Source organism: Homo sapiens, chromosome 20 (assembly GCF_000001405.40).
Source record: "Homo sapiens chromosome 20, GRCh38.p14 Primary Assembly".
NCBI classification, from domain to species: domain Eukaryota; kingdom Metazoa; phylum Chordata; class Mammalia; order Primates; family Hominidae; genus Homo; species Homo sapiens.
The window spans coordinates 4096087-4114868 of NC_000020.11; the positions used below are offsets into that span (position 1 = coordinate 4096087).

Genomic DNA, 18782 nt, shown 5'->3' on the forward strand with positions numbered 1-18782 from the left:
GCACTTTGGGAGGTCAAGGTGGGCAGATCACAAGATCAGGAGTTGGAGACCAGCCTGACCAACATGGTGAAACCCTGTCTGTACTAAAAAATACAAAAATTAGCTGGGCGTGCTGGCAAGAGCCTGTAATCCCAGCTATTTGGGAGGCTAAGGCAGAAGAATTGCTTGAACTTGGGAGGTGGAGGCTGCAGTGAGCCGAGATCATGCCACTGCACTCCAGCCTGGGCGACAGAGTGAGATCTTGTCTCAAAATAAATAAATAAATAAATAAATAAATATAAAACGTTAAGGGAAGTTCTTCAGGCAGAAGGAAAATTGTGCCAGCTAGAAATGTTGATCTACGCAAATGTATGAAGGGCACTGGAAATAGTAACTTCTTGGGTAAGTGTAAAGACTTTAAAAATTATGATTTAAAAATTGTTTAAAGAAAAAATTTTTCTTTAAATAATAATTGACGGCCTAAAGCAAACTGATTAACAATTACTGTGGGATTCGTAACATATTTAGAACTAAATGCATGACATTACAGAGCATTGCATGTCATCACATTGCATTGCATCTTCTAAAACACTGAAGAGAAGAGACTACTTCCTAACTAATTCTATGAGGACAATATTATTATTATTATTATTATTATTATTATTACTTGTTGAGACAGGGTCTTCCTCTGTCATCCAGGCTGGAGTGCAATGGTGTAATCCTGGCTCACTGCAACCTCTGCTTCCTGGGCTCAAGCAATCCTCTCACCTCAGCCTCTCAAGTAGCTAGGACTACAGAAACACTCCACCATACCTGGCTATTTTTTGGTATGTTTTTGTAGAGATAGGGTTTTGCCATGTTACCCAGGCTGGTCTCGAAATCTTCAGCCCAAGTAATATGCCTGCCTTGGCCCCCCAAAGTGCTGGGATTACAGGCATGAGCCAACGTGCCTGGCCAAGACCAGTATTATTACTCTGTTGTTAAAATCAGAAATTGATATTACAAGGAAAGAAACCTACAAACCAGTGTTCTCCTGAATGTGGATGTAAAATTCTTATTGTAGTTTTAGCAAAGCAAATCTAACAATATATGAAAAGAGTAATATGGCTGGGCACGGTGGCTCACGCCTGTAATCCCAGCACTTTGGGAGGCTGAGGTGGGTGGATCACGAGGTCAGGAGATCGAGACCACCCTGGCTAACATGGTGAAACCCTGTCTCTACTAAAAATACAAAAAATTAGCCGGGCATGGTGGCGGGCACCTGTAGTCCCAGCTACTTGGGAGGCTGAGGCAGGAGAATGGCATGAACCCGGGAGGCGGAGAAAAAAAGAGTAATATATCATGACCAAATGGGATTTATCACAGGAATGCAACATTGCTCCAACATTGGAATAATTAATGTAGTTCACGACATAAATAGACTAAAAAAGAAAAAAAGGATCATTTCAATAGATGTAGAAAAATCATTTGACATAATTTCAAATCCATTTCTGGTAATACTCCCAGAAAACCAGGAAGAGAGGGGAAATTCTTCAACTTGATAAAGAGCATACATCTATGAAGAACCTTTAACTAATGTCATATTTAGTGGTGCATTCTCCCTCAGCTCAGGAGCAAGGCAAGAACGTGTGCTTATATTATTTCTACTTGAAATTGTATTGGAGGTGTATCCCATGCAAAAAGGTAAGAAAAAAAAGACATTCACATTGAATAGAAAGAAGTAAGACTATCTTTATTTGCAGATGATAAAGTCATCAAGTCATCTGATTGTCTAGAAAATCTTATGAAATTTCTACCTAGAAAATCTTATGAAATCTACAAAAAGCTACTAGAATTAATAAGTGGTTTAGCAAGATTGTAAGATACAAGATCACAATAAAAACATCAATTCATTTTATTTATTTATTTATTTATTTATTTATTTATTTATTTATTTTCAGATGGAGTCTCGCTCTGTCACCCAGGCTGCAGTGCAGTGGCAGGATTTTGGCTCACTGCAAGCTCTACCTCCCAGGTTCACGCCATTCTCCTGCCTCAGCCTCCCGAGTAGCTGGGACTACAGGTGCCCGCCACCATGTCCGGATAATTTTTTGCATTTTTAGTAGAGACCGGGTTTCACTGTGTTAGCCAGGATGGTCTTGATCTCCTGACCTCATGATCTGCCCGCCTCGGCCTCCCAAAGTGCTGGGATTACAGGTGTGAGCCACCACGCCTGGCACAAACATCAATTTATTTCCTTATACTAGCAAGGAATAATAGAAAATTGAAATGAAGCAAAACCATTTACAACAGCATGAGATACATAAAATACTTAAGAGCTAAATCTGACAAAAGATGTATGAGATATCACAATGAAAATTACTGATAGAAATTAAAGAAGATCTAAATAAAAGGAGAGATATAATGTGTTCATGGATAGCAAGACTCAATATTACAAAGTATCATTCCTTTCCAAATTGATCTGTAGATTCAATGCAATTCCAATCAAAATCCCAGCAGTCTTTTTTGGTGGAAATGTATAAGCTGATTCTAAAATTAACATAGAAGTGCAAAGGACTTGTAATAGCTAAAACCAGTTTGTAAAAGAAGAATAAAGTTGGATTTACACTACTTGACTTTAAGACTTAGAAACTGGCATTAATCAAGACAGTGTGAAATTGGCATCAAGAAAGAAAAACAGAACAATGAAACATAATACAGTACAGAAATAGACCTTCTCATATATGGCCGATTGATTTTTGACAGTGGTGCAAAGGCAATTCACTGGAGAAAGGGTAGTTTCTGTTTTAACAAACAGTGCATGAACATTTGTTTATCCATATACAGAAAAATGAACCTTTTATCTATACTTGGCACCATATAAAAATAAACTCAAAAGCGATCATAGACCTAAAACTATAAAACTTTAAAAATAAAACACAGGGGAAAATATTGTGATCTTGTTTCTGTTCTCTTTTTTTTGAGTCAGAGTCTCACTCTGCCACCGGGTCCAAGTGATTCTCGAGCCTCCGCCTTGCAAGTAGCTGGGATTATAAGCGCCTGCCACCATGCCCAGCTAATTTTTGTGTTTTTAGTAGAGACGGGGTTTCACCATGTTGGCCAGGCTGGTCTAGAACTCCTGACCTCAAACGATCGACCCATCTCGGCCTCCCAAAGTGCTAGGATTACAGGTGTGAGCCACCATACCCAGCCATAACTCCTGTTCTTTGAAAGGCACTTTTGAGAGAACAAAAAGACAAGCCACAAACTGGAAGAAGAATATTTGCAAGTTAAATAACTGATAAAAGATGTATGTTTAGAATATTTTTTAAAAAACCTTTTAAAACTCAATATTAAGAAAACCAACAACTTAAACAAAAATGGGAAAACATTCTTCACCAAAGAAGAGAAACACATGGCAAATAAATTCACACAAAGATGTTCAATGCTCAACATTACTAGTCATAGGGAAATGCAAATTAAACCACAATGGAATATTACTATAAACCTCTTCCCTTTTATTTATTTATTTTTTTGAGATGGAGTCTTGCTCTGTCACCCAGGCTGGAGTGCAGTCGCGTGATCTCGGCTCACTGCAACCTCTGCCTCCCTGGTTCAAGCGATTCTACTGCCTCAGCCTCCCGAGTAGCTGGGATTACAGGCATGCGCCACCACACCCGGCTAATTTTTGTGTTTTTAGTAAAGACGGGGTTTCACCATGTTGGTCAGGCTGGTCTTGAACTCCTGACCTCAGGTGATCCGCCCACCTCAGCCTCCCAAAGTGCTGGGATTACAGGTGTGAGCCACCGTGCCCGGCCCTTCTTCCCTTTGTGTTAGAAAGATCTGATGTCACCACCTGAACTTATTTCCTGGGGCTGCTGTAGCAAATTATTACAATAATTTAAACAATAGAATAAACAATAGGATTAAAACAATAGAAAAGTATTCTCTCCGTTCTGGAGGCCAGAGGTCTGAATCATTGTGTCAGCAGGGTTGGTTCCTTCTGGGAGCTCTGAAGAAGAATCAGTTCCATGCCTCTTTCTTGGCTTCTGGTGGTTGCCAGCGATGCTTGGCATTCTTGGCCTTATAGACACATCACCAGCCTCTGCCTCTGTCATCACTTGGCATCCACCCTGAACGTCTCTGTGTCTTGGTGTCCAAATTTCTCTCTTGTAAGGACAGTATGGGATTAGGCCCACCCTAATCCAGTATGATTTCATCTTAGCTTGATTATATCTGCAAAAACCACTATTTTCAAATAAAGTCACATTCACCGGTACCAGGGGTTTGGAATTCAGTTTATCTTTTGGGGGGACACAGTTCAACTCACAACACGACCTTAACTAATAATCGAACTTGCATCATTTATAGTCAGACAACCAAACATTATGAGCTTCCTGATGTGATACATACAACATGACGTCATAGTGCCACCTTTGTATTCTTGCCAAAAATGTTTAACCCATATCTAATGAAACTGTTTAAATGAACTTCCAGGTTACAGGGAATATACAGGGTAGAGGAGTAAGTTAAATGACACCATGATAAAGCAATCTGACAAGTCCAGAGTAGGGGGAATATTCTGCAAGACAACTAGTGTGCTGTCCTCAAAAAGTCTATGTCAAGCCAGAGGCAGTGGTGCCTGTAGTCCCAGCTGCTTGGGAGGCTGAGGTGGAAGAATTGCTTGAACCCAGGAGCTGGATGCTATAGTAAGCTATAATCAAGGTCTCTCTCTGTGTTGTGCCACTGCACTCCAGCTTTATCAACATAGTGACCTCGTCTCTCTCTATATATACAAAGTCAATGTAGTGTCATGGGTTAAAAAATATGTGATGTGCCTGTGTGTGATCAGCACTGTTTAACAGAAACAAAGTGAACCACAAATGTGAGTCATATACAGTATGTAACTTTTAATTTTCTAGTAGTCACATTAAAAAAGTAAAGGCCAGGTGTGGTGGCTCACGCATGTAATCTCAGCACTTTGGGAGGCTGAGGTGGGTGGATCACCTGAGGTCAGGTGTTCAAGGCCAGCCTGACCAACATGGAGAAACCCTGTCTCTACTAAAAATACAAAATTAGCTGGGCGTGGTGGCGCATGCCTGTAATCCCAACTACTCAGGAGGCTGAGGCAGGAGAATCACTTGAACCTGGGAGGCAGAGGTTGTGGTGAGCCCAGATCGCGCCATTGTACTCCAGCCTGGGCAACAAGAGTGAAACTCTGTCTCAAAAAAAAAAAAAACCAAAAATGTAAAAAGAAACTGGTTAAATTAGTTTTAATAATTGTTACTAATTTATTAATATTAAATTAGAATAAATAATTAACCTAGTGTAATAGTTTTTTTATTACTGCTGTCATAAACTTATTAGTAATTTGTTATCTTACGGTGCTATAGGTCAGAAGTCCGATACAGGTCTCATCAGACTAAAACCAAGGCGTGGTAGGCTGTGTTCTTTTCTGGAGGTTCTGGGAGAGAATCAATTTCTTGCTCATTTGGGTTGTTGGCAGAATTTACTACCTTGCTGAGGTCCTTGTTTTCTTGCTAGCTGTACGCTGAGGGATGTTCTTAGCTTCCAGAGACTGCTGTATTTCTTGGCTTCTGGTTTTCTTTCTTCATCTTTGAAGCCAGCAATGGCAGGTCAAGTACTTCTCAGGTTGCATCTCCCCGATACAGTTGGGAAAGGTTCATTGCTTTTAAGAACTCATGTGATTAGATTGGACCCACCTAGATAATTCAGTATAATCTCCCTATAGTAAAATCCTTAAACTTAGTCACAGCTGCAAAATCTATTTTGCTCTGTACAGTAATATATTCTCACACGTTCTAGGGATTAGGGCATGGACATCTTTGGGGTGCATTATTCTGCCTCACCCTCAATATATCAAAAAAATTTTCAGTTCTATATGTAAGCCATAAAAAATTTATTAATGAGCTATTTTACATTACTTTTTGTGAGTACTAGTTCTTTGAAATTCATTGTGGGTTTTATACTTATGGCACATCTCAGTTTGGATCAGGCACATTTCAAGTTCTTAATAGCCACTAACCACTTGCGGCTTCTGTATTGAATGGTCCAGTTCTAGATTAAAGGACACAAAAGAGACAGAAACCTGATACAAACAATAATTAGATTTTGATTTAAGAAAATACAAATCAAAACAATGTAGCTACATAAGACATTTTGGAAACAACTGGGGATATTTGTATATAGATTTAAATAATCAGCACCACTTACTGTTAATTATTTTAGCCGTGGTATTGGCCTTGACGTAGGAGGATGTTGAGAGTTTTAGGAGATGTGCATTGCTGTGATCACCCCACAGATGTGGGATAGATCTCCCCTAACCCACGTGAAATTTGGTTTGGATGTTGAGACTGATGATGCTATCTGCACACCGAGAAGGCATGAAAAGATTTGTGACTCATGTAATGAGCCATTCTGGGGAGAGTACAGCAGGTTCCTAAACAGGCCCCAAAGTAGCTTGAGAATGCAGACAGGGGCAGCTGGCCTGGCTTTGTGTTTGGAAGGGAGGCTGGGGTGAGGGCCCCTACCCATGGGCTGGGTTTGTGTGGGTGAAACTATCTGCCAGCAGCAAGGGAGGGAGCAGCTGGGCTTTTTTATTGGTTTGTCCAGCTATACGGCAAGAGGGGAAAAGGGAGGGATGGGGCTTGACAGCTGTCAGCAGTTAATCATCAAAAATGGAGTCAGAATTGGCTGGGCGCGGTGGCTTACGCCTGTCATCCCAGCACTCTAGGAGGCCGGGTTGGGAGGATCACCTGAGGTCAGGATTTCGAGACCAGCCTGACCAACATGGAGAAACCCCGTGTCTACTAAAAATACAAAATTAGCCGGACGTGGTGGCGCATGCCTGTAATCCCAGCTACTTGGGAGGCTGCGGTGGGAGAATCACTTGAAGCTGGGAGGGGGAGGTTGCAGTGAGCCGAGATCGTGCCATTGCACTGCAGCCTGGGCAACAAGAGTGAAACTCCGTCTCAAAAAAAAAAAAAAAAAAAAATGGAGTCAGACTCATTACAGTTCACCCCGATGCTCGACTGCTGACTGAAAGGTGCCATGTTTCATTTGATTTCATTTGAACTTGTTTAAGTGAACCATTATGGTGCCCTATGAGACCTTGAGTCTGAGGCCAATAAAGGAGGTGAAAGTTCTGTTAAACATCTTTTCCAAGAGCCCAGTATTCATTGTCAAAATTAAAAATGTTTGTGCTTCAAAGGACACCAGGAGCAAGTGAAGACACAGCCTACAGAATAAAAAAATTTTTTTTTGCAATTCATATATCCGATGATGGACTTGTCTCTAGACAAGTCCTCTAAAGAACTTTTTCAGTTCAATAATAAAAAAAAAATAGCCCCATCAAGAATGGGTACTATTGCAGAGTAAAAAGACAACTGACAGAATGGTAGAAAATATCTGTAAATCATATTTGATTAGGTTGTAATATCCTGAATATATAAAGAACACCTACAACCCAACAACAAAAAGACAAACAACCCAATTTTAAAAATGGGCAAAGGGCTGGGCTCGGTGGCTCAAGCCTGTAATCCCAGCACTTTGGGAGGCCGAGGTGAGTGGATCACTTGAGGTTAGGAGTTTGAGACCAGCCTGATCAACATGGTGAAACCCCGTCTCTACTAAAAATACAAAAATTAGCTGGGTGTCGTGGCAGGCACCTGTAATCCCAGCTCAGGAGGCTGAGGCAGGAGAATCACTTGAACCCAGGAGGCGGAGGTTGCAGTGAGCCAAGATTGCACCACTGCACTCCAGCCTGGGCGTCAGAGCGAGACCCTGTCTCAAAAAAAAAAAAAAAAAAAAAAGTATTGTGGTAATTCACTGTGAGGCACCACTCATCCTTTCCAGGTTCACAAACAGGCTATTAAATGGAGAAACAGTGTGGATAATCACCCCTTTTCTGAATAAATCTTGTATAATGAGTTTTAATCCTTGAAGGCCCTGCTTTAATTTATGTTGGGCCACATTAACTATTTTAAATGAAAAGGAAGAGGTGGGTCCATGGGGTCCCATTTTGTCAACCTGATTGTTAAGTGCCAAAGACTTAAATGAATTTTAATGTATTAGTCATTGGATCAGAGAGTCCATGCCCATTATAGGACATTTTAGAATAATGGGTGCTATGACTACAGGGAATTTAGGCAAGGCAATAGTTCAGATGGTTAAGGCGAGGCATACCTGTTTCTCCTGTCATATTTAGTAACTTCCCTAAGATTACAAAGGGTACCTTGTCTTAATTTAGTGGGATCACTGGTATAACTGTAATTTGAGCCCCAGGATTAAGAAAATGACATTTTCCCAATTGGTACATTTCAGCAGATGTTGAACTTAATTCAAAACTCATGTTGTAGAGGCGCAAAAGCCATTCGGCACCCTTTCATGTTTTTGTTGTATAAATTCTTTCAGTAAATTTTGGATTCCCGGCTGGGCGCGGTGGCTCACGCCTGTAACCCCAACACTTTGGGAGGCCGAGGTGGGTGGATCACCTGAGGCCAGGAGTTTGAGACCAGCCTGGTCAACATGGCAAACCTCCATCTCTACTAAAAATACAAACATTAGCTGGGCGCGGTGGCTCCCGCCTGTAGTCCCAGCAACTTCGGAGGCTGAGGCAGGAGAATTGCTTGAACCCGGGAGGCGGAGGTTGCAGTGAGCCAAGATTGTGCCACTGCACTCCAGCCTAGGTGACAGAGCGAGACGCTGTCTCAAAAACCAAAAAATTATTTTGGATTTCTACTTGGGTCATCCCCAACTGTGGACCTTGGTTTTTTGTTTTCTCCCCCTGTATCCAGGTATCTGGAGGGAGGTGGTTACTCACTGTGGTTTGAGGCAGGTCCCCTCCATCTTTGCCATATTTGTAAGCTTCATCCTTCAGAGGGTCTCACATTAGCATGGTCAGGGCGCGCCTCCTCCAGGGCAGTGGTTACCTTGTTGGCTAAGGGACACAGACTTCACGGGGGCAGAGCAGCCCTGTTGCGTGTTGATAAGTTGTGGCACTCAGCTGACCCCAGAATCTTTGTTGGTCCATTTTACAGCTGTCCAATAGGGCCAGGGTATCCTCTAACCCCTTAGGAGGGGCTGAGATAAAGCATTCAGGCCTTTTTCACAGGAGTCTGTCCATGGGATGTCATGGATGTCTTTTTCTTATAACCCTGGGGATCAGGGTCTTTGGTGTGAGAGAGGCACAGGTAGCAGCAGCAGCAGCAGGTGGCACTTGGAAAGCCATCACCTTTTAGGGGTGTGGACCTCAGCAGGCCACATGGTGACAGCTCCTGCACCCCATGAGTGACCATCATTGGGTGGAAATACTGCACAAGGTGTTACTAGTTCCCCTGAGTGCTCTGCAGATTCGGGTCCAATGTCTGGTTGAGACTCACAGCCAAAGGCCCCACAGTAAGAGTTGCTCCGCTGAGCCCAGCATCAGCCATAGCTTATGCTGGAACCACACAATTCAGTGAGACACACAGATAGGGCCATGCCAAGGTCCATGACCCAGAGCCACGTTAAAGAGGGCTCCAATCCCATACTTCTGTCCCTAAACACCAATTACTGAAACTTCCAGCTTGCCCTGGTAAAATCTGTAACAGACGCTCAGAGGACTTGGCCAATCAGCACAAAGCAGCACAGCTCCAAACACAAACGAATCAGCGGGCAGAGGCGCAGAGGGCAGGTCGCCAGCAGGCAGCAGAGCCAGTTCACAAGCCAAAGCGAGGGAAGAGAGACCCCTGCCATCACGGTCACTGCCCACATGCCCTGCTTGCTGTGCCAACTGTTGGGGTCCATTGTGCCTCTGTGGGATGACCACATGTGTTGGGGTATCGAAGAGTGTGTGTCATGACATCTGCAATGGGCATTTAAAAGTTGCAACCTTGGCCAGGCGCGGTGGCTCACGCCTGTAATCCCAGCACTTTAGGAGGCCGAGGTGGGTGGATCACCTGATATCATGAGTTTGAGACCAGCCTGGCCAACATGGTGAAACCCTGTCTCTACTAAAAATACAAAAATTAGGTGGGCATGGTGGTCGGTGCCTGTAATCCCAGCTACTCGGGAGGCTGAGGCAGAAGAAGCACTTGAACCCGGGAGGCGGAGTTTGCAGTGAGCCGAGATTGCACCACTGTACTCCAGCATGGGGCATAAAGCGAGATTCTGTCTTTAAAAAAAAAAAAATATTGCATCCTTAAGGCTTTAGGCAGGGGAGGGATGAGGCTGAAGAGGGCCAGAGAAAACCCTCTCAGGCGCTGCAGTGGGGCAGAGGGGATGGAAGTAGGAAGCGCATAGGGAGAGAAGATGAGTTTGGCTAACCATCTTCATAGTCCAAGGAGATTGAGAAGCTCTTGCTCTGTGGTGGTGCGGGGGAAAGGCAGCAGAGGAGAAGGGCTGAGAGCAAGACTCACTCACTCACGATTGGGAGCAGCACAGCGCCTACTGGCTCAAAAAAAGGCCAGCCATGGTGGCTCACACCTGTAATCCCAGCACTTTGGAAGGCTGAGGCAGGAGTTCCCAGTGCTGGGTGAGCCCAGGAGTTCAAGACCAGCCTGGGCAAGATGGCAAGACCCCAACTCCACAAAAAATGTAAAAATTAGCCAGGGATGGTGGCTTGCCTGCAGTCCCAGCTACTCTAGAGGCTGAAGTGAGAGGATTGCTTGAGCCCAGGAGATCGAGGCTACAGTGAGCTGAGATCATGCCACTGCACTCCAGCCTGGGCAACAGAGTGAGACCCTGTCTCAAAAAGAAAAGAAAGAAAAAACCCACAAAAAACCTTGGCTTGGGGCCAGGCATGGTGGCTCACACTTGTAATCCCAGCACTTTGGGAGGCTGAGGTGGGCAGATAACGAGGTCAGGTTTTCATGACCAGCCTGACCAATACGGTGAAACCCCGTCTCTATTAAAAATACAAAAATTAGCCGGGCCTGGTGGCAGGCGCCTGTAATCCCAGCTACTTGAAAGGCTGAGGCAGGAGAATTGCTTGAACCCAGGAGGCGGAGGTTGCAGTGAGCCAAGATCATGCCATCGTACTCCAGCCTGGGCGACAGAGTGAGACTCCGACTCAAAACAAAACAAAACAAAACATGGCTTGGACCTAAATTATGTCCCACTGAATTGTGTGTCTTTGTTGCAGCATAAGCTATGACTGATGCTAGGCTTGGGGGAGCAACTCTTACTGTGTGGCGTTTGGTGTGGGTCTCAACCAGACGTCGGCCCCAGATCTATAGAGCCCTCAGGGAGGGAACTAATTACTACTCAGACTACTTGAGTTCAAGAAGCAACTGGGCCCATTATTTAACCCCTGTGTGCCTCAGTTTCCTTACCTGTAACATGAGGGTGTATCAGTTTGCTAGGGCTGCCAGAACACAGTACAACAGAATGGACTGCTTAAACAACAGAAATGTATCTACTCACAGTTCTGGAGGCTGGGAGTCTGAGCTCAAGGTGTCTCAGGGCTGGTTTGTTGGAGGCCTTTCTCCTTGGCCGATAGGCGGCCACCTTCTCCCTGTGTCCTCACAGGATCTTCCCTCTGTCTGTGTCTGTGTCCAAATTTCCTCTTCTTAGAAGTACACCAGTCATATTGTATTAGGGCCCATCCTAGCAGCCTCATCTTAATTACCTCTCCAAAGACCCTATCTTCCAATACAGTCACATTCTGAGGGACTGGGGTCAGGACTCCAATACATGAATTTGGAGGGGGACATAAATCAGCCCCTAACTGGAGGATAATATCAGAATTTATTCCTTCGCAAACTTGTAGAGTTGATTGAATTAAGACACGTAAAGTGCTTAGAACACTAATAGAAAATGCTTTTTACTACTACTATTATTGTTATTTAGAGACAGCATCTTGCTCTGTCACCCAGGCTAGAGTGCAGTGGCATGACCATAGCTCACTGCAGCTTCGAACTCATGTCCTCAAGCGATCCTCCTGCTTGGTCTCCTGAGTCGCTAAGATTGCAGGCGTGCACCACCAAACCCAGCCTGTTTGTTTTCTTCCTTTCTCTCTCTCTCTCTCTCTCTCTCATTCTTTCTGATAGAGTCTTGCTCTGTCACCCAGTCTGGAGTACAGTGGCGTGATCACAGCTCACTGCAACCTCCGCCTCCCTCAAGTGATTCTCCTGTTTCAGCCTCCTGAGTAGCTGGGATGACAGGCACGTGCCACCATGCCCAGCTAAATTTTGTATTTTTAGTAGAAACGGGGTTTCACCATGTTGGCCAGGCTGGTCTCGAACTCCTGACCTCAAGTGATCCACTGCCTTGGCCTCCCAAAGTGCTGGGATTACAGGCATGAGCTACTGCGCCTGGCACCCAGCCTGCTTTCTATTGTTTAAGATGCAGAAATGACGTATGAAAGCGGGGCAGCCACTTTACAGGTTTCCCCAAGCTCCTGCCTCCCCTGAAATTTGGCTCCTTTGAGTCCTAATGGTTCTCGGACCCCATGCCCTCAGAAGCCTTCCCTACTTGCTTCAGGCGCCTCCCTTCTGAGGTCACAGCTCTGAGGCCAGGATCCTCTGTAACCGCCTTCTCCCCACGAGGCAGCCTGATTGCGTGGCCCCTTGAAAGCAATTAAGCCTGTGGTTTTCAAACTGTGGTCTCCAGACCATCAGCATCACCTGGAAACTCGTTAGAAAGGCACATTCTTGGGCCCACCCCATACCTCTGTGTTAATAAACCCTCCCGCTGATTCTAATGCGTGCTCCAGGCTGAACAAGAAGGTCCTCAGTGAAGGAATCAATTCTGCCGAACTACCGCTTGGGGACAGCACAGGACCACAAGGTAACCATGGCTGATGAAAAGCACCCGCAAATTGCAAAAGCCTCTCACTGCCCTTCCGGCCTCCAGTGTTGCTGTAAGCCCCCTTCAGTTCTCCCCACATACCCTGCATGACCTCTGGAAACCTCATACCTGATGGTGTCACTGGTTCAGAATTCTTCAGCAGCTCCCTAGGACATGAAAGGTCCTTCATTTGCTGAGCAGTATCTCCTGCCAGGTGCATCTTGCACGGGCTCCTCTCTCTCTGTCTCTGTACGTTCCCTGGGGTCGGACCCACCTGGGTTCGAATTTCAGCCCTGCCATTTACCGTCTGGGCGTGATGTGGGCAAGATACATCATTTTGAGCCCCTCATCTATGAAATGGGAGCAGTTAATAAGACTTTTCTCATGGGGCGGTTATGAGAGTCGGAGACCTCATGTATAAAGAGATTTTAGCCTAGGATCATGCAAACAGTAGGTGCCTGATATGCAGCAACTCTGCTTCCCCATCTGCACTGCCAAGTGCAAGAGGCAGTTGCCCACAGGCCCATCTCCGTGCCGGGTGTAGTAGGTGCTGTCTGAGTCCCACCAATCCTCTGACTTCGTGGCTTCCATCTGCCAGAACCTGTGTGTCTTTGCCTGGGGCTTTCTCTGGCTGCTGGTATCCACTGTGGTACCAGGGCCATAAATCTCTGTAAATTGGGGATGATAATAATGCCTACCTCATGGCACTGTTGGGAGGCCTTGTTAGTACCCTGCGTAGAAGGGGGCCTCAGATGTTGGGGTGCTGTTGGGGTGCTGTCTCTGTAACTCGCCTACCCACAGGAGTAGCCGTATCAGGAATACTGGGCAGTAGATGAAAGACGTGGGCCTGGCTCACATGGTGGCTCTCTGCTCTGCCACCCAGGCCGGCACCTGAGACGCCTGAATTGATGTCATAGGATGTAAGAGGACACCAGGAGCCTGGGGCTGCCAGTAACCCTGGCACCTTGGCAGGGCAGTGAGTTCTTCATAGCCTCTGAGAACCTGGACCATCTCAAGCTGGGGACCTGGAGGTGACTCAGCCCCTCAGCCTGCAGCCTGCAGGGCCAGAGGGACCTGCACTTTCCTGGGTGGGTGGGTGAGGGGCATAGACCTTGTCCAAAGTCACTGTCATCAGGACCCCACTCTTTCTTGTGGTTGCTTCCTGGGGGTTTCTCTGCCCTTTATCTTCATGTTCTGTGTGGGGCTAATCTGGCCCTTGGATGCAGTAGGCATTTATCTATGTGACTTGATGTAAGGGGCTCCAAAAATGCCCCCCGCCCAACCAGCCTAAATATCTCCCTGCCAGACTGTCATACTGTCTGTGCATGAAACCCCTGGCTTCAGCATTGCCCTCTCCCATTTCCTCGTATTGAAATAGGTGGCAAGCTGCAGTCAGGACTGGCAAAGAGCCCTGTGCAAAATGAAAATGGAGGGCTCCTCGTCCAAAAGTTAGGAAGAATTTCAAGGCAACAACAGAAGAGAATTCAACTAAGCACGGGGCCCTGCACTGCTGCACAGGCTGTGCACTCTTGAAGCCAGCTCTGCCTGCAGCCTGAGCTCTTAGCGAGACAGGATCACCTCCTTTCCTTGCACCAGTGAGGAGCCCTGGAGCTGCCCAGATCAAGGACACAAAGACAAAACGAGCCTCTTTACTCAGCTCAGGACAATTGTTGTTTTCGGAGATGGGTGAAGCTCAGGGCCCTCTGTCCAGCTGGCCTAACTTCAGGGCCTCCTGAAATTCCTCTGGGTTCTCCAGGCCCCTGGAGTCCTGGCAGTTGATGGGGCATTTTCTGCCTATGGCCTGGCTGGCCCTGAGCTTGTCCTTACTCTATTGCAGTGTTTGCCTTGCCTGCTGAGGGACTCGCTCTGGCATGTGGGCCTGATCCTGAGGGGTCCTTTTCCTGTTTCCTGAACAACCACCAGATCTTTGGATTTAGCTCCTAGCAGCCCCAGGAGCACCCCCAGACAGACTTCCCGTGCTTGGGGCTGTTCTAGGCTCTCCAGATCCACTGTCTTCTCCATCGCCCTGTGCCCCACAAGGCTGAGCTGGGTGGCTGCCTCTGTGGGCTACCTGTGCTTTTGCTTCTGGTTGGGTATGACCAATGGAAGAGAGGGAGGAGTGAGAGAGGTGGGCATTTACCCGCCAGCTCCCTCCTGGGGCTGCTGTAGCCTGGCTGTGTCCCTGCCCCAGGTGCCAGCTGCTTGTCAGGCAGCTCTCCCCGCTCAGCCCTTTCTGCCTCTGGGTTCTAACCCTCCCCGCTAGCAGCTCCCTCCCCTTGGACTGCCAGGCCTTGGGTGGTCACAGATTCCAGCTGTCACTACTGTTCCCTCCCTTGAGATCTCCCAATACCCTGACCATCCTTTGTGAATGGTTCCTTTATTAAACTCTCCCAGAATTATCCGAATTTGAATTTGTAACTATTTCCTTCCGGGTCCCTGACTGGTAGAAAGATCTTTGCTCTATGTTGTACCCCTGATCTATCTTTGTAGCCCTCAATCCCTTGGGACAGCCAGGTCAGGGACCAGATGTCCAGGAACTCAGGCCAGAGCCCACTCCCAATCTCCTTGGAGAACACCACAGAAGAAGTGGGGACCCTCCCCCAGGCCCCCCAAACACACCCACCGGGTACTCCATCCTCAGGGAATTGGGCACCAGGGGCCTACACATTGTGTCTTTTTCTCCTTCAGCTTCGGGGCTTGATGGAGGTAAGACAGTCAGCCAGAGAGGCTCATCCCCACACAGGCCCCCGGTGACCAGGTAACTAGGTAACCAGACAAGTATACAATTAGACAACTAGGCAACCAGATAACCAGACGACAGGCAACCAAACAACTAGATAACCAGGCAACCAGGCAAGCCGACAAGTAGGCAGCATTCTCTGAGGGGGACATCCGCTGGCTCTGCTGGTCAACCTTCCCTCTATCTTTTCCTGGCAGCAGATTTTCCCTTAGGGAGCTTGTCCTCCTTCCCTACTCAGGGGAGGCACCTGTGACCTCTGCCTAAGCCAGTCAGCCAGTCAGGCTTACCCAAAGCTGATTCTGGAACTTGACTAACCTAGAAGAGGCTGTTTCTTGCTGGACCTGCAGAGAGGAAGTGAGGTCTGAAGCTGTGCCACCCTTTTAAATCTAAGACAGGAGCCAACCTGAAAGAGGCAAGGCTGGGAGATGGGGAGACATCATTTGAGCCTTGATTGAACCATTCCTGAAGCTGCTGCCTTGGCGCCTTTAAGTTTTATGAACCAGTGAATTCTCTTTTTGCTGAAGCCACTTCACGCAGTGTTCCTTTCTTTGCAAAAGGAAGAACCCTGGCTGGGATGAGAGTCCCTGAAACTTTGCTCCACTGACCTGCTGCTAGGAGTGAGGCCCCTCCCTGCTTGTGATAGTCTTCCTGGAGCACCACCCAGGGCATTGGTCAGGAGGCTTGGGCTCAAATCTGGGACTGCTTTTAATGAGTTGTGTCAATGGACATGTCCCTTCAGCTCTCGGGGCCTTGGGCTTCTCACAAATAGCCATGCCTTTCTGCCCTACTTTAGCTGTGAATGGGGCTGAATGTTAGTACCATTTCCTGGGAGCCGTTGGTGTGGTATGGAGGTCAGGAACATGGCTGACTCAAATCTGGCTTTCAGAGTCTGATAACCAATTGCTCCAGGGTGTGTAGCCAGGGCTTTCCTGCTGCTCTCTTCTTCATTTGGGGAAGTCTCTGGCTCCCAGCCAGGGTCAGAGCCCAATGCTGTGGCAGCTAAGCCTTCTTCTCCATTCCTGGCTTGCTCACGGGAGGCACCTGTGACCTCCACCTAAGCCAATCAGCCAGTTAGGCTTACCCAAAACTAATTCTGGAACTTGACTAACCTAGAAAAGGCTGTTTCTTGCTGGACCTGCAGAGAGGAAGTGAGGTCTGGAGCTGCGCCACCCTTTCAAATCTGGGACAGGAGCCAACCTGAAAGAGGCAAGGCTGGGAGATGGAGAGACATTATTTGAGCCTCGATCGAACCATTCCTGAAGCTGCTGCCTTGGAGCCTTTAAGTTTTATGAACCAATGAATTCCCTTTTTGCTTAAGCCAGTTCTTTATTTCTTTGGGCCCTATCTCTGCCTCAAATCAGTGTACAGGAGGCTTCAGCACATCATTTTAACAATGATTTTATCAGGAAATTCCCATCTGTGCTCATAACTCAGCCTTTAATTGGTGGAAATTACCGGTCCCATATGCTTAGAGCTGTGGTTTTCAAAATGTGAGCTCCAGACCAACAGAACCAGCAATTACTTGGGAACTGGTTAGAAATGCAAATTTTCGGGCCGCATTCTATACCTGCTGAATCAGAAACTCTCGGGGTGCCCCCAGCAATGTGTGGTTTAAGAAGTCTGCCGGGTGATTCTGATTCTCACTCAAGTGTGCGAACCACCTGCTTGGAGCTTTTGCTGGTTCAAAAGGTGCACATAGAGGATGATCTGGCACTGCCTGGATCTCCTTTGGCTGCAGATGGGCTGTTCCCCAGCAGCAGCGAATGAGTATTTGCTGCTAACGGCTTCCAGCTGTTCCTTCTCCCTGCACTAAATCTGCCTTCCACGGGCCATGGCCAGTGCCTGATGGGCATGGGGGTATACCAGGCTGGTCTCTTTGTCCAGTGGACCAGAGAGGGACACTCCAATGTGAATTACTTTCTAGCCCCTCTGTGAATTAGGCCAGAGCTAGACTTTAAATGCTCAAGTCACTGCTTCTTCCAAACGCCTAGCTGTTTTTGGGACCACAGGTGTGAGTTACCGTACAACACCCTGGTGAAAAAAAAAGTCACTTGGCTTTGCAAAATTAAAATAAGCGTGCTTGATTGCTTGATTATCCTCCTCTGCAGGCTGGTTTTAAAGTCAACCAGGAGAGCCTCTGACTGTCATCTGGTTTGCAGGTCCTGGTGGCCATCAGCTGTGATTGGGTCATTCTCCTCTTTGTATCAAAGAATCAACACTTCCACCCCTTGGCCCAGACCTCACAGGGACATGTTTCATGGTAGCCTAAGAGATACAAAAAACTTGTCAACTGCTTTCTTCCTCTGACTGCCCTTCCTGAGAAGGGAGAAGGGAAAAATATTTACTTTTTGTTCTCAATTATCAAAGAGAAAGGCAAGATGCCAGTTACTTTCCCAGTTAATTTCTGAGGGGTAACAGAAAGTTTGGCGAGTGTGTTTGTGTGACTGTGTGTTTGTGTGTGTGGCTGTATGTTGGGTGTTGGGGTGTGTTTGCTTGTTTGTATGTGTTTGTGTGTCTGAGTGTGTGCAGATGGATGTGGAAGTGTGTTTGTGTGTTTGTGTGTGTGTAGATGGATGTGGAAGTGTGTGTGTCTGTGTGTGTGCAGATGGATGTGGAAGTGTGTGTGTCTGTGTGTGTGCAGATGGATGTGGAAGTGTGTTTGTATGTCTGTGTGTGTGTGTACAGATGGATGTGGAAGTGTGTTTGCACGTGTGAGCCTGGGGCTTGGGTTCTGTGACAGCCACAGCAATGGGGCCAGAGCCCCATCACTCCCCAGAAGATGTCAGCCCCTCCCTCAGTGCCAGGCCTCACAGCTGACACAGCATTCAGCTGCTATCTCTTGGAGCCTGCTGGGGGCACAGATGGTGTCACTCAACAGGACGGTGGGATAAACTGTCAGCTCCAGCCACTTCCCTGCTTTGATACTTCAGGGCTCTGAGGTTCTGCAAAAACAATTATCTGGGTAATTATGGCCCTAAACATACTCTGAAGTCTGGGAGGAAGGAGAAGTAAAAATATAAAAAGACCAGATGGGAATATAGGAAAACATTTACAGCATTAACTTTTTTCCTGGGGACTGTGATTATGGGTGATTTCTATTTATGTCTTTGTGTTTATTTGCATTTTTGAAATTTTCTACAATGAACACGAATTATGTGTACAATAATTAAAAATGAAAGCAGAAGAATAATTATAAATATCCCACACCTACTCCTTGAGTGCAAGCTTTCCCTCCCACCCCCAACACCACAGGAAATCGTTAACTTCCTCAACTTTGTGTTGTTACAACTTCCCA

The 18782-nt window shown here is 46.6% G+C and overlaps 3 annotated features.

Moving 5' to 3' along the window:
- Nucleotides 12773-13325: an enhancer, noted in NCBI's record as "H3K27ac-H3K4me1 hESC enhancer chr20:4089506-4090058 (GRCh37/hg19 assembly coordinates)". NCBI's record gives its function as "activates a minimal SCP1, AML or CMV promoter by ChIP-STARR-seq in primed H9 embryonic stem cells {active_cell/tissue: H9 hESC(primed)}" and the evidence as "EXISTENCE:reporter gene assay evidence [ECO:0000049][PMID:30033119]".
- Nucleotides 13326-13877: an enhancer, noted in NCBI's record as "H3K27ac-H3K4me1 hESC enhancer chr20:4090059-4090610 (GRCh37/hg19 assembly coordinates)". NCBI's record gives its function as "activates a minimal SCP1, AML or CMV promoter by ChIP-STARR-seq in primed H9 embryonic stem cells {active_cell/tissue: H9 hESC(primed)}" and the evidence as "EXISTENCE:reporter gene assay evidence [ECO:0000049][PMID:30033119]".
- Nucleotides 14211-14775: an enhancer, noted in NCBI's record as "H3K27ac-H3K4me1 hESC enhancer chr20:4090944-4091508 (GRCh37/hg19 assembly coordinates)". NCBI's record gives its function as "activates a minimal SCP1, AML or CMV promoter by ChIP-STARR-seq in primed H9 embryonic stem cells {active_cell/tissue: H9 hESC(primed)}" and the evidence as "EXISTENCE:reporter gene assay evidence [ECO:0000049][PMID:30033119]".